The sequence below is a fragment of the Homo sapiens genome, chromosome 16 (genome assembly GCF_000001405.40).
Source record: "Homo sapiens chromosome 16, GRCh38.p14 Primary Assembly".
NCBI lineage: Eukaryota > Metazoa > Chordata > Mammalia > Primates > Hominidae > Homo > Homo sapiens.
In genome coordinates this window covers 74,359,310-74,370,655 of record NC_000016.10, presented here as the reverse complement: position 1 = coordinate 74,370,655, position 11,346 = coordinate 74,359,310, and the positions used below count along the sequence as shown (strand labels likewise).

Here is an 11,346-nt window from a genome sequence, read left to right as displayed (position 1 = left end):
GCACCACTGTGCTCCAGCCTGGGTGACAGAGTGAGAGCTAATCTCAAAAAATAAAAATAGGCTGGACGCGGTGGCTCACACCTGTAATTCCAGCACTTTGGGAGGCCTAGGTGGGCGGATCATGAGGTCAGGAGTTTGGGACCAGCCTGGCCAACATAGTGAAACCCTGTCTCTAATAAAAATACAAAAATTAGCCCAGCGTGGTGGCGCACGCCTGTACAGTCCCAGCTACTGGGGAGGCTGAGGTAGGAGAATCGCCTGAACCTGGGAGGCAGAGGTTGCAGTGAACCGAGACCACGCCATTGCACTCCAGCCTGGGCAACAGAGTGAGCCTCCATCTAAAAAATAATAATAAAATAAAAACACTCAACCCCCTAGAAAAAATAGTGCATCAGTGGTTATGAGAACCTACTAAGGACAAGACCCATCTTTGACAATGAAAGGGGCCTTAGGACTTCCTTCCTTTTTTTTTTTTTTTTTTTTTGAGACAGTCTCGCTCTGTCACCTAGGCTAGAGTGCAGTGACACAATCTTAGCTCACTGCAACCTCCGCCTCCTGGGTTTAAGCAATTCTCCTGTCCCAGCCTCCCAAGTAGCTGGGATTACAGGCATGTGTCACCACGCCCAGCTAATTTTTGTATTTTTTAGTAGAGATGGGGTTTCACCATATTGATCAGGCTGGTCTCGAACTTCTGACCTCACGTGATCCAACTGCCTTGGCCTCCCAAAGTGCTGGCATTATAGGCATGAGCCACCGCACCCAGCCTGACTTAGCATTTTGGAGTGGAGGCCGATCATGGTGATGGAGAAGGAAATCAGGGACAGATCTATACCATTTGTTTGCTATTTACTGCACGTAAACAGAATGAAATCAACACATTAAGTATTTCACTTGATTTCATCCACCATCTCCTGCAGACAACCAGGTTTCTCCCAAATTCATGTGCCTGGAAATGGCTTGAACCAAATGGTTCATGAGGAAAACCTGTGATATTTTTCATGAAATTGCCACATCTGGGCATCAGGAAAGCCTTCCCCGAGAATGTCTCAAATTGGTCAGCCGTTTTCTCTTTTTTTAGACAGGTAGGTGTCCCCAAGCATTCAATCCTAGCTAAAATATGGAAGTATTTATCTAGCACAGGAGCCTATGGCATAGTTTCAGTCCACTGTCTGGCAGACCTCATCTGGGCTGTCTTTGTGTGATTTGACTGGCCAGTAAATGGGGTATAAACTATGTAGGCTGTGGCCTGGCCTTGTGACAGAGGGGTCCCTGGAACTTGACTGCCACTCCCTAAGAGCAGAAACCGCCTCTTTCTTGTACACTGCTGGATCCCATCATCCTGCACAGTGCCTGGCTACAGGTGGCCAGCAATAAAACACAAGATTGGGGCAGGCACAGTGGCTCACGCCTGTAATCCCAGGACTTTGGGAGGCTGAGATGGAAGGATCACTTGAAGCCAGGAGTTCAGGCCCAGCCTGGGCAACACAGTGAGCCTATCTCTACAAAAAAAAAAAAAATTTTTTTTAATTAATAAAACACAAGATTGGTTTGTGTGGTGAGACAGTATTGAATCCAACAAACGGGAACTGGATAGTGTGGCCCAAGATGCAATGGTGGCTGCAGCATGAGACCCTTATGCATATAATATTCAGTGGAAGAGGTGCCAGGCACTGTTCTGGGTGCTGAGAATAAAGCTATGCATAAGACTAAGGTTCTGTCGACAGAGATCGTGTCACACCAGTGGAAAAGACAGTCATCAAACTTATATCCTTGAGTCAGTGATGACTTCTAGAAGGAAAGAAAAGGCTGATGTGACGGTGAGGAAGGGATGAGTGGAGACTTCTCTGAGACTTCAGTGATTCCTCTTCCTCTGAGCTGAGCCAAGCTGAGAAGCTGAGAAGAGTAAGATAGGGCCGGGAACTCAGGTCCGTTAGTCCGTCCTCCGAGGTGGGGCGGGCCAGCAGAATGGATTTCCGATCTACTCTGTGAGAGCCTCGCCCAAGAAAGCCCAGAGCCACTTCCAAGATCCGCGCTCCCACGGCGATGAGAAGCGTTTTCCCCCGGGACTGCTTGGCTTAGGACTGGGGACCCACTGGCTTTGGAGTAAGCCCTGGCACGGGCCTCGAGGGAAGAAAGAACCCCCGCGCTCCCCACACTCCACAGGGCCTGCGATCATCTCAGATGTTCCGGTTCCACGTGCAGAAACCCCGCCGGTCCGAGGCCCGGGTTCTAAAACGGCCCTAAGAGTCAAGGCTTCCACAGCTCGCCTCTGAGGGTGGCAAAGAGGCCGCGGGGGCGGTGCCTCGCGAGACCCAAACAAGCCCACGTGGCAGGGGCGGGGCTCCGCGAGGGCGTCACGGCGCGCTCGGGCGCGGCTGAGGTCACGCGCCGGCGGTACCCGTGCCCGGGGGCCGTAAAGCGCGGAAGGTCGCGGTCTCGGCTTCCCCGGAACTTTTTGCTCGCTTCGCCCCGCCCCCTTCCCATCCCCGAACCCCGCTTTCCGGCCCGCGGCGACCGCCGGCAACTGTTGTGGCTGCCGCATTGCTCCCGCCGGGCTGTAGCTGAGCGCGGAGCCCGTGGGGGCCGGTGAGGTAAGGAGATAGCTTCGGGGCAACTCTGGCCTCCCCGTCCGCGCGGGCCTAAGCGCCCCGGGACCCCTGGGTTCCCCTCTTTCTCCTTTGGTTTCGCCCGGGGGTGGTCCCCGCTAGCTCACGCTTCCAGTGGGTTCCGCCTGGCCTCTCGCGAAGTCGCGTCCGGGCGGTAGTACTCGTCCCCGTAAGGTTGTCCGCTCGTGCCTTGGCTTGTGTCCTCGGCTACCCCTGGGCCTGCGCACCGCTCCTCCAGGAGCCTGCACCTCAGCCCCGATGCCAGGGCGGCCGGGGTGACCTCGGGCTCCCCAGTCTTGGGCTTGCACACCCCTGCGGCGCAGAGCCAACTCCAGCTTGTCTAGCCCGGTCCTCCATCCCTGCAGATGGAACTGTTTTCCCGCGTTGAGACGTGCGGTCCGCTTGTGCTTTCAGAACTAGTAAGACTGCTGCAGAGTCCGGAGGAAGAAGTCACCTAGAAAAGTCTGGGACAGGGCAGTAAGCTTCCTTCTTAATGTTTGACCTTTGGGGGCCGATGTGTGATACCTCGGATTTGAATCAAGAATCTCCAAGCCCATTTTCCGCATGCATGTAAACGTGATGTACCGGGATGGGGGCTGGTGGTGGAGGAGGAGCCAGCCCAACGGATATGCGTTTCCAGTGGCAGGGACTTGTGTTAATTTCTTTTTTCTTTTTTCTTTTTTTTTCTTTTTTCCGAGACGGAGTCTCACTCTGTCGCCCAGGCGGGAGTGCAGTGGCGCGATCTCGGCTCACTGCAACCTCTGCCTCCTGGGTTCAAGCAATTCTCCTGCCTCAGCCTCCCAAGTAGCTGGGAATACAGGTGTGCGCCACCACGCCCGGCTAATTTTTGTGTTTTTAGTAGAGACGGGGTTTCACTATGTTGGCCAGGCTGGTCTGGAACTCCTGACCTCGTGATTCGCCCGCCTCAGCCTCCCAAAGTGCTGGGATTACAGGCGTGAGCCACTGCGCCCGGCCAACTTGTGCTAATTTCTTAAACTTGCGTGATCACCTGGTGTACTTGTTGAAAAATACAGCTCCCTGGCGTGGCAGGATCAGAATCTGCCGAGGTGGACCGTGGGAATCTGTCATTTTTAAACAAGTGTCCCAGGTGGTTCTTTTGCTGAGGCAAGTGTGGGAAATGTGTGAACCCACGCTCATCCAGTCTTCCTTGTGACCGGCAGTCCACTGTGCGCAACGCTGCAGCCATACAGAGGGACTACTCGAAGTTAGAACTAGCACCTTGGTCTTGTTGGAATAAGCAGATCTGAGTAGAGCCAGCTGCAGTCTTATGGTTGTTTAGCAGAAGTTATTCTTCTTAGCAGAGAATATTATACGGTCATTTTCCAGAACTGTAAAAACTCTATCATTTGTTTTAAACCAGATGATGTGCTTCATTTCTGTCTTTGACGTCTTCAGTTTCTTCTCCCCTGGCTTTACCTCCTTTGCTATCAGTTTGTGCTTTGGTTTTGCTGCCAACCTTATAGGCTTAGGTTTGGCGGCAAAGGCACTAGACTCTGGTGCCTTCTTTTCCTTCGTTGTCTTAAGCCCTTCTTTTCCTCTGCCCTCATGCCCTCACCACTTCACTCTTTTGAAGGTCATAATGAACACAAGGTCAGAGATCCCTTTTTTGGCGCCAAGCACCCTGGGCTTTTTTGAGATGGAGTCTCACTGTGTCACCCAGGCAGTGGCGCGACTCTGCGCACTGCAGCCTCCATCTCCCTGGTTGAAGCAATTTTCCTGTCTCAGCCTCCTGAGTAGCTGGGACTACAGGTGCAAGCCACGACACCTGGCTAATTTTTCTGTTTTTAGTAGAGACGGGGTTTCACCATGCTGATCAGGCTGGTCTCAAACTCCTGACCTCAAATGATCCACCCACCTTGGCCTCCCAAAGTGCTAGGATTACAGGTGTGAGCCCCTGCGCCTGGCCTTTTTTTGTTTTGTTTTGTTTAAGACAGAGTCTCACTGTGTCACCCAGGCAGGAGTGCAGTAGCATAATCTCGGCTCACTGCAACCTCTGTCTCCCAGGCTCAAGCGATCCTCCTACCTCAGGAGTTCAGGACCAGCCTGGGCAACATAGTGAGCCCATCTCTACAAAAAAAAAAAAAAAAATTTAAAAAATTAATAAAACACAAGATTGGCCTGTGTGGTGAGACAGTATTGAATCCAACAAACGGGAACTGGTTAGTGAGGCCCAAGATGCAATGGTGGCCGCACCATGAGTACCTGGGACCACAGGTGCGTGCCACCACACCCAGCTAATTTTTTGTATCTTTGGTAGAGACGGAGTTTCACCATGTTTGCCAGGCTGGTCTCCAATTTCCGACCTCAAATGATCTACCCGCCTCGGCCTCCCAAAGTGCTGAGATTACAGGCGTGAGACATGGCGCCCGGCCTAAAGTTTTTTTTTAATTCCTCCTTAAAACTCATCTGTTACTGTGTTTGTTCTGCCACCTTTGCAATTCCCTTTCTCTGTTAGGGGAATGTGCTTAATGGTTCAGTCCTCACAGCTGTCCTTTCCTTACCATCTGCTTTTATTTGAAAGGTAGCGTGGAGTCATGATTAAATAGCCGGCCACTAATGCCAAATTGGCAGGGTTCTGCTACTCAACAGTTTGGTAGGACCTTGGGTGAGTCACTTCCACTTATCTGTGCCTGTTTCCTCAAGTGTAGAATAGAAATGCTAGTATCTACCTCATAAGGTTGTGAGGATTAAATTAGTTATATACATAGGCAGTATCTGGTGCATTGTAACTACTTATAAAAATATTAGCTTTAAAAATTATTGGCCGGTCACAGTGGCTCATGCCTGTAATCCCAGCACTTTGGGAGGCCAAGGTGGGTGGATCACCTGAGGTCAGGAGTTCGAGACCAGCCTGGCCAACATGGTGAAACTCCATCTCTACTAAAAATACAAAAAATTAGTCGGGCACAGTGGCGTGCGCCTGTAATCCCAGCTACTCGGGAGGCTGAGGCGGGAGAAACACTTGAACCTGGAAGGCAGAGGTTGCAGTGAGCTGAGATCACGCCTCTGCACTTCAGCCTGGGCGACAGAGTGAGACTCTGTTTCACAATAAATAAAAATAAAAATAATTCTCTCAGGTATTTAGATATCTCCTCAAATCTGGGGGTCCTACCTTTGATTTTTTCCCCCCATCTTCTTTGTTCTCTGTTCTCATTCATGCATCAACATATATTTCCTAGGTACCTATGCTGAACGCTGGGAAAATTGAGCAATTTATAAGGTTTCTGCTCTTAGTTCCATTATAATAGGGAAATAATAGGCCGGGTGTGGTGGCTTAGCCTGTAATTCCAGCACTTTGGGAGGCCAATGTGGGCAGATCACTTGAGGTCAGGAGCTCGAGACCATCCTGGGCAACGTAGTGAGACCTCACCTCTACAAATATTCATAATTTTAAAATTAGCTGAGTGTGATGGTACACATCTGTGGTCCCAGCTACTCTGGAGGCTGAGGTGGGAGGATCGCTTGAGTCTGGGTGGTTGAGACTGCAGTGAGCCATGATCATGCCGCTGTACTCCAGCCTGCATGACAGACCTCGTCTCAAAAAATAATAAAAAATAACTACCACTTACTGAGTGCTTCTTAGGTGCTTGTACCATGTTCTTCCTGCCTTGTCTGATTTAGTCTTTGCAGCAACCATGTGAGGTAGGTGTTTCTAGCCCGTGTTACAGATGAGGAGTTCAAAGCCTAGAGATTTAGTAACTTGCTGATAGTCATACAGCTAGTGAGAGGTGGGGATATTTTCAAACCCAGAACTGTCCGCCCCCAAAGCCTGGATTCCCTGCCATGCTGGCATGTTGCTTCTCTGATTGGCAAACAGACCATTGTGCAGTGTGGTAAGTTCTGTGCTGGGAGAAGTGTAGTGTGTTATAGGAGAACATAGAAAAGCCACCTAACCAAGTGTTGGAGAAGGAGGGGGAGATTGTCAGATAAGATGTCAAAGACAGGGCTGGGCACGGTGGCTCATACCTGTAATCCCAGCACTTTGGGAGGCCAAGGCAGGCGGATCACGAGGTCGGGAGATTGAGACCATCCTGGCTAACATGGTGAAACCCCGTCTCTCCTAAAAATTAAAAAAAAAAATTAGCCAGGCATGGTGGCGGGTGCCTGTAGTCCCAGCTACTCAGGAGGCTGAGGCAGGAGAATGGCATCAATCCAGGAGGCAGAGCTTGCAGTGAGCTGAGATCGCACCACTGCACTCCAGCGTGGGCGACAGAGCGAGACTCCATCTCAAAAAAAATAAATAAATAAGATGTCAAAGAGGCTGTGACCTGAGGAGATTACCTGTATTTGCGGGAGGGGTGGCAGGAACCTGCCAGGAGGGAACAGCATGCACAGAACCTGGAGCCGAATAGAACATTCACACCTCACCTGATATGTTTGACGAATTACAGGTTGTTCAGTCTGGCTTGGTCAGAGTGTGAGGAAAGGAGAAATGAGACCACAGATAAGAACCAGACTGTGAAGGATCTTGCACTTGATATGAAAAGAGTTTTGCCTTTTTCCTGAGGGCATCAGAAAGTCATTAAGGTGGGTGTGGTGGCTTACACCTGTAATCCCAGCACTTTGGGAGGCCAAGGCCAGTGGATCACCCGAGGTGAGGAGTTCAAAACCAGCCTAATTAACATGGCGAAACCCTATCTCTACTAAAAATACAAAAAGTAGCTGGGCGTGGTGGCGCGTACTTATAGTGCCAGCTGTTCAGGAGGCCGAGGCAGGAGAATTGCTTGAACCTGGAATGTAGAGGTTGCAGTGAGCCGAGATCACACCGCTGCACTCCCAACTGGGCGACAGAGCGAGACTCCGTCTCAAAAAAAAAAAAATTGCTGAGGAAAAGGAGCAAAAACGGAGGGAAACATTGCAGGTACAGGAAAGAGAGACAGCAGTTGATGGAGCTAGGGTCAAGAGAAGAGAGGAGGAAGTGGGATCCAGGGCCCTTGGGGGAGATTAACTTTCCAGTGGATAAAAGAAGGAAGAGATGGTTGCAGATGTAAGTGGGTCTATAGGAAGGGTTTCAGGGAATGAGATGAGCCAGGTTATCTGCTTAGAATGAGGGAAGAAAGGAGGTGAAGTTGAAGGTTGAGAGAGGAATAGCTGGGCTCTGAACCTGAATACAGACAGAGGTCTACCTGTGGCTTAACATGTGCTAGCCTAAGCCACCAAGGAGCAGGACAGTTTTCAAGTATAACCGAGTGGTCACGGGTCAGAAGCCAGGAGGTTGACAGTGAGGTCAATGGGATGGGGCTGGCCATTTGGCAGCAGCAGTTCCCCAGGAGAGCTGTGTTGCCATTGGGACAGAGGGTAGAGAGGATGTCAGCAAAGGGGTGGGTGTTTACCTTTGGGAAAGGTATTCTAGAGGGTGCAGTAGAGGAGCTTGAAGGAGAGGAAAGCAAAGAGAGCTTGGGCCACGGGAAATAAATTGGTCACGTAGAGATGAGATTATGTAAAGACTAGCCGGGTAGAGAAGCTTCTGTTTTGAGATGGTGCTTAACAGGGACCAGGGATGAGAGGCATGGTGGCAACCACAAGGTGGCCAAGACAATTTGTCTCCAGTTGGATGGGATGTCTGTCTGGACATAGTCTGTGCTTGCATTGGTTGCAATTCTGATGGATGGACATAGATACCTTGGCCTTGGACAATTTGGGCTGACTGTGGAGCATCTGTGGGTCCTGTGGCTGGCAGTGGAGGCGGTAAGGAGATGACTAGCAGTGAGCTGCCCTGAGGCCCCCTTGTCTACCGCCTCTCGTCTCAAAGTCCTCATCCTCCTGTACACATGACTGCATGGACAGCCAGTAGGTGCTTTCTTCTTCAGTTTCTTGAAACTTGAACAGTCATCTGTTTTGCTGATAGATTAAGTTTGTTAAAACCCTGCCTTGTCCAAGGGCAGTGGTTCATGCCTGTAATCTCAGCACTTTGGGAGACCAAGGTGGGAGGATCACTTGAGCCTAGGAAGTCGACTCTGTTTTTATAATTCTACCATCCGCTCTCCACCATGGAGCCAGACTGACCTTTGGAAAACATCCCCCCACCCCTCACCGCCAAAAAAAACAAAGAAAAGAAAAACATCCCAGATCATTTCATTCCCCTGCTAGTGATACTCCCGCATGAGTGATTTTCCTTTGTACTTTGAATAAAATTCCAACTCCTGCTGATGGCACCCAAGGGCTGTGTGTAACTGGCTTCCGCCTGCCTCTCCAGCATTGTCTTAGATCATCTCCCCACACTCCCCGTGTCGTGTACATGCCGGCCTCCTTTTTGTTCTTGGTCTGTCTTACCTCAGGGCTTTTGCACATGCTCGTCTCAGTGTCTGCCAAATGTATAGCTCGTTCCTTATCCTTCAGGTCTGTTTCCAAATGTCACTTCCTTGGAGGCTGTTTCTGACCATCCTGTTTTAAATATGCCCCTAGTTACTCTATCACATTAGCTTTATTTACTGTTTTATTTGTATGTTTACTTGTATATTGATTGGTGCTCTCCTCATTCACACACGCAAACTCTCAAATGTAAATTTCATAAAGACAGGGACTTCCCCATTCTTGTTCACTGCTAGCAGAATATCTGAAACTCAGAATGCCCTCAAATATTTCTTTTTTTGTTTTTGTTTTTGTTTTTTGAGACGGAGTCTCGCTCTGTCGCCCAGGCTGGAGTGCGGTGGCGCGATCTCTGCTCACTGCAACCTCCGCCTCCCGGGTTCAAGCAATTCTCCTGCCTCAGCCTCCTGAGTAGCTGGGATTACAGGCACCCGCCACCATGCCCAGCTAATTTTTGTATTTTTAGTAGAGACAGGGTTTCACCATGTTGGTCAGGCTGGTCTCGAACACCTGACCTCGTTATCCACTCGCCGCGGCCTCCCAAAGTGCTGGGATTATAGATGTGAGCCACTGCGCCCAGCCTAATTTTTTGTGTTTTTAGTAGAGACGGGGTTTCACTGTGTTAGCCAGGATGGTCTCGATCTCCTGACCTCGTGATCCGCCCGCCTCGGCCTCCCAGAGTGCTGGGATTACAGGTGTGAGGCACCGCGCCCGGCCACCCTCAAATATTTGCTGAATGAATGGCTATCGTTCTTTGTCAAATCCCTTTCTCATTAATCCCATGCACTGAGTTGAATGGCATGAAATATGTTTGGTTTCTCTGTCTAGTTTGAGTTCCTGAGATCTAGTTGGTGAGAGACATGATGTTCTACTGGTTGCTGTCGATTGTTGGAAGACAAAGAGCCAGCCCAGGATGGCAGAACTGGTCCTCTGCAAGAAACAGCGCATCAGCTGCCGAGGCGCGTTCCATGGCCCTGCCCACCCAGGCACAGGTGGTCGTCTGTGGAGGTGGAATCACGGGCACTTCTGTGGCCCATCACCAATCCAAAATGGGGTGGAAGGATATTGTCCTTTTGGAGCAGGGCAGGTAAGGATCAGACTGCATTTGGCTCATGGCTGTGCTGCACTAATCGTATCAGATTCCCTCTCCTTTCAGAGATACTGCCCCACCAGTAGCTAATCTAAATGTTGCTAAGTAGCATGAGAAGAAGCAAGGTGGAATCTCCTGAATTTTGTTTAAGGATGACTAATAATGCTCATGTTCTCTGGTTTTTAGAGAGTTGGCAAATTTCGTCGTTTTCCTTTTTTTTTTTTTTTTTTTTTTTTTTTTTTTGGTGGTGGTGTTTTGGTAGACAGGATCTCGCTTTCTTACCCAGGCTGAGCTTGAATTCCTGGCCTCAAGCAGTCCTCCCACCTTGGCCTCCCAAAGTGCTGGGACTACAGGCATGACCCACTGTACCCAGCAACATTTTAGACTTTGACAAAAATTTGTGTTTGTAAATAATGTGGACTGCATTTAAGCAAAGCAGACAACTGCTTGTGTTTGCTTAATTGCTAGGTTCTTAATATTGTTCTCATTCTCCAAGAGAAATATGCTCTATAGGCTTAGTTTCTCTGTGCTCACCTTCTTTTAGGTCAAGTATTTTCTGCTCTATTGGCTTGTAAGCTAAGTCCCTTTATATTAATTTGTAATAGTTACAGAGATTACAGAATGGATTCTTATAATCCATCATTAATTAATATTATACCACTATACAAGTAATGTTAGATTCATACAACAATATTGGCCGGGCATGGTGGCTCACACCTGTAATCCCAGCACTCTGGGAGGCTGAGGTGGGCAGATCACCTCAGGTCAGGAGTTCGATACCAGCCTGGCCAACATGGTGAAAACCTGTCTCTGCTAAACATACAAAAATTAGCTGGGCGTGGTGGTGTGCACCTGTAATCCCAGCTACTCGGCAGGCTGAGGCAGGAGAATCGCTTGAATCTGTGAGGCGGAGGTGGCAGTGAGTGGAGATCATGCCACTGCACGCTAGCCTGGGTGACACAGCAAGACTGTCTCAAAAAAAAAAAAAAAAAAGAATACAGGCCTTTCACTCTGATAATTCTCAGCCTGTGTTTAGCTAATGTTTTCTTCTTCTCTTTTTTTTTTTTTTTAAGATGGGGTCTTGCTGTGTCACCCAAGCTGGAGTGCAGTCACACTATCACAGCTGACTGTAGCCTTGACCTCGTGGATTCAAGCAGTCCTTCTGCCATAGCCTCCCAAGTAGCTGGGACTACTGACATGCACCATCACATCTGGCTGATTGTTGTATTTTTCTGTAGAGATGGGATCTCCCTGTGTTGCCTAGGATGTTTTCTTTTCTTTCTTTTTTTTTTTTTTTTTTTGAAATGGAGTCTCTCTCTG

At 49.4% G+C, this 11,346-nt stretch overlaps 1 pseudogene across 1 annotated transcript in view, besides 4 other annotated features; it reads left to right on the top strand.

Annotated features, from left to right (window-relative positions):
• Nucleotides 2,111-2,160: an enhancer, noted in NCBI's record as "active region_11107". NCBI's record gives its function as "activates an Ori minimal core promoter by ATAC-STARR-seq in GM12878 lymphoblastoid cells {active_cell/tissue: GM12878}" and the evidence as "EXISTENCE:reporter gene assay evidence [ECO:0000049][PMID:35858748]".
• Nucleotides 2,191-2,442: a silencer, noted in NCBI's record as "fragment chr16:74402112-74402363 (GRCh37/hg19 assembly coordinates)". NCBI's record gives its function as "represses an EF-1alpha promoter that drives an FKBP-Casp9 reporter gene in an ReSE screen in HepG2 liver carcinoma cells {active_cell/tissue: HepG2}" and the evidence as "EXISTENCE:reporter gene assay evidence [ECO:0000049][PMID:32094911]".
• Nucleotides 2,191-2,510: a biological region, named in NCBI's record as "ReSE screen-validated silencer GRCh37_chr16:74402112-74402363".
• Nucleotides 2,221-2,510: a silencer, noted in NCBI's record as "silent region_7696". NCBI's record gives its function as "represses an Ori minimal core promoter by ATAC-STARR-seq in GM12878 lymphoblastoid cells {active_cell/tissue: GM12878}" and the evidence as "EXISTENCE:reporter gene assay evidence [ECO:0000049][PMID:35858748]".
• Nucleotides 2,401-11,346, top strand: part of PDPR2P (pyruvate dehydrogenase phosphatase regulatory subunit 2, pseudogene) — a 35,850-nt pseudogene continuing 26,904 nt past the window's right edge. The window contains exons 1-2 of the transcript NR_026950.1: nt 2,401-2,591; nt 9,765-10,023. The product of NR_026950.1 is annotated as a pyruvate dehydrogenase phosphatase regulatory subunit 2, pseudogene (transcript). The remainder of the gene's footprint in view (nt 2,592-9,764; nt 10,024-11,346) is intronic.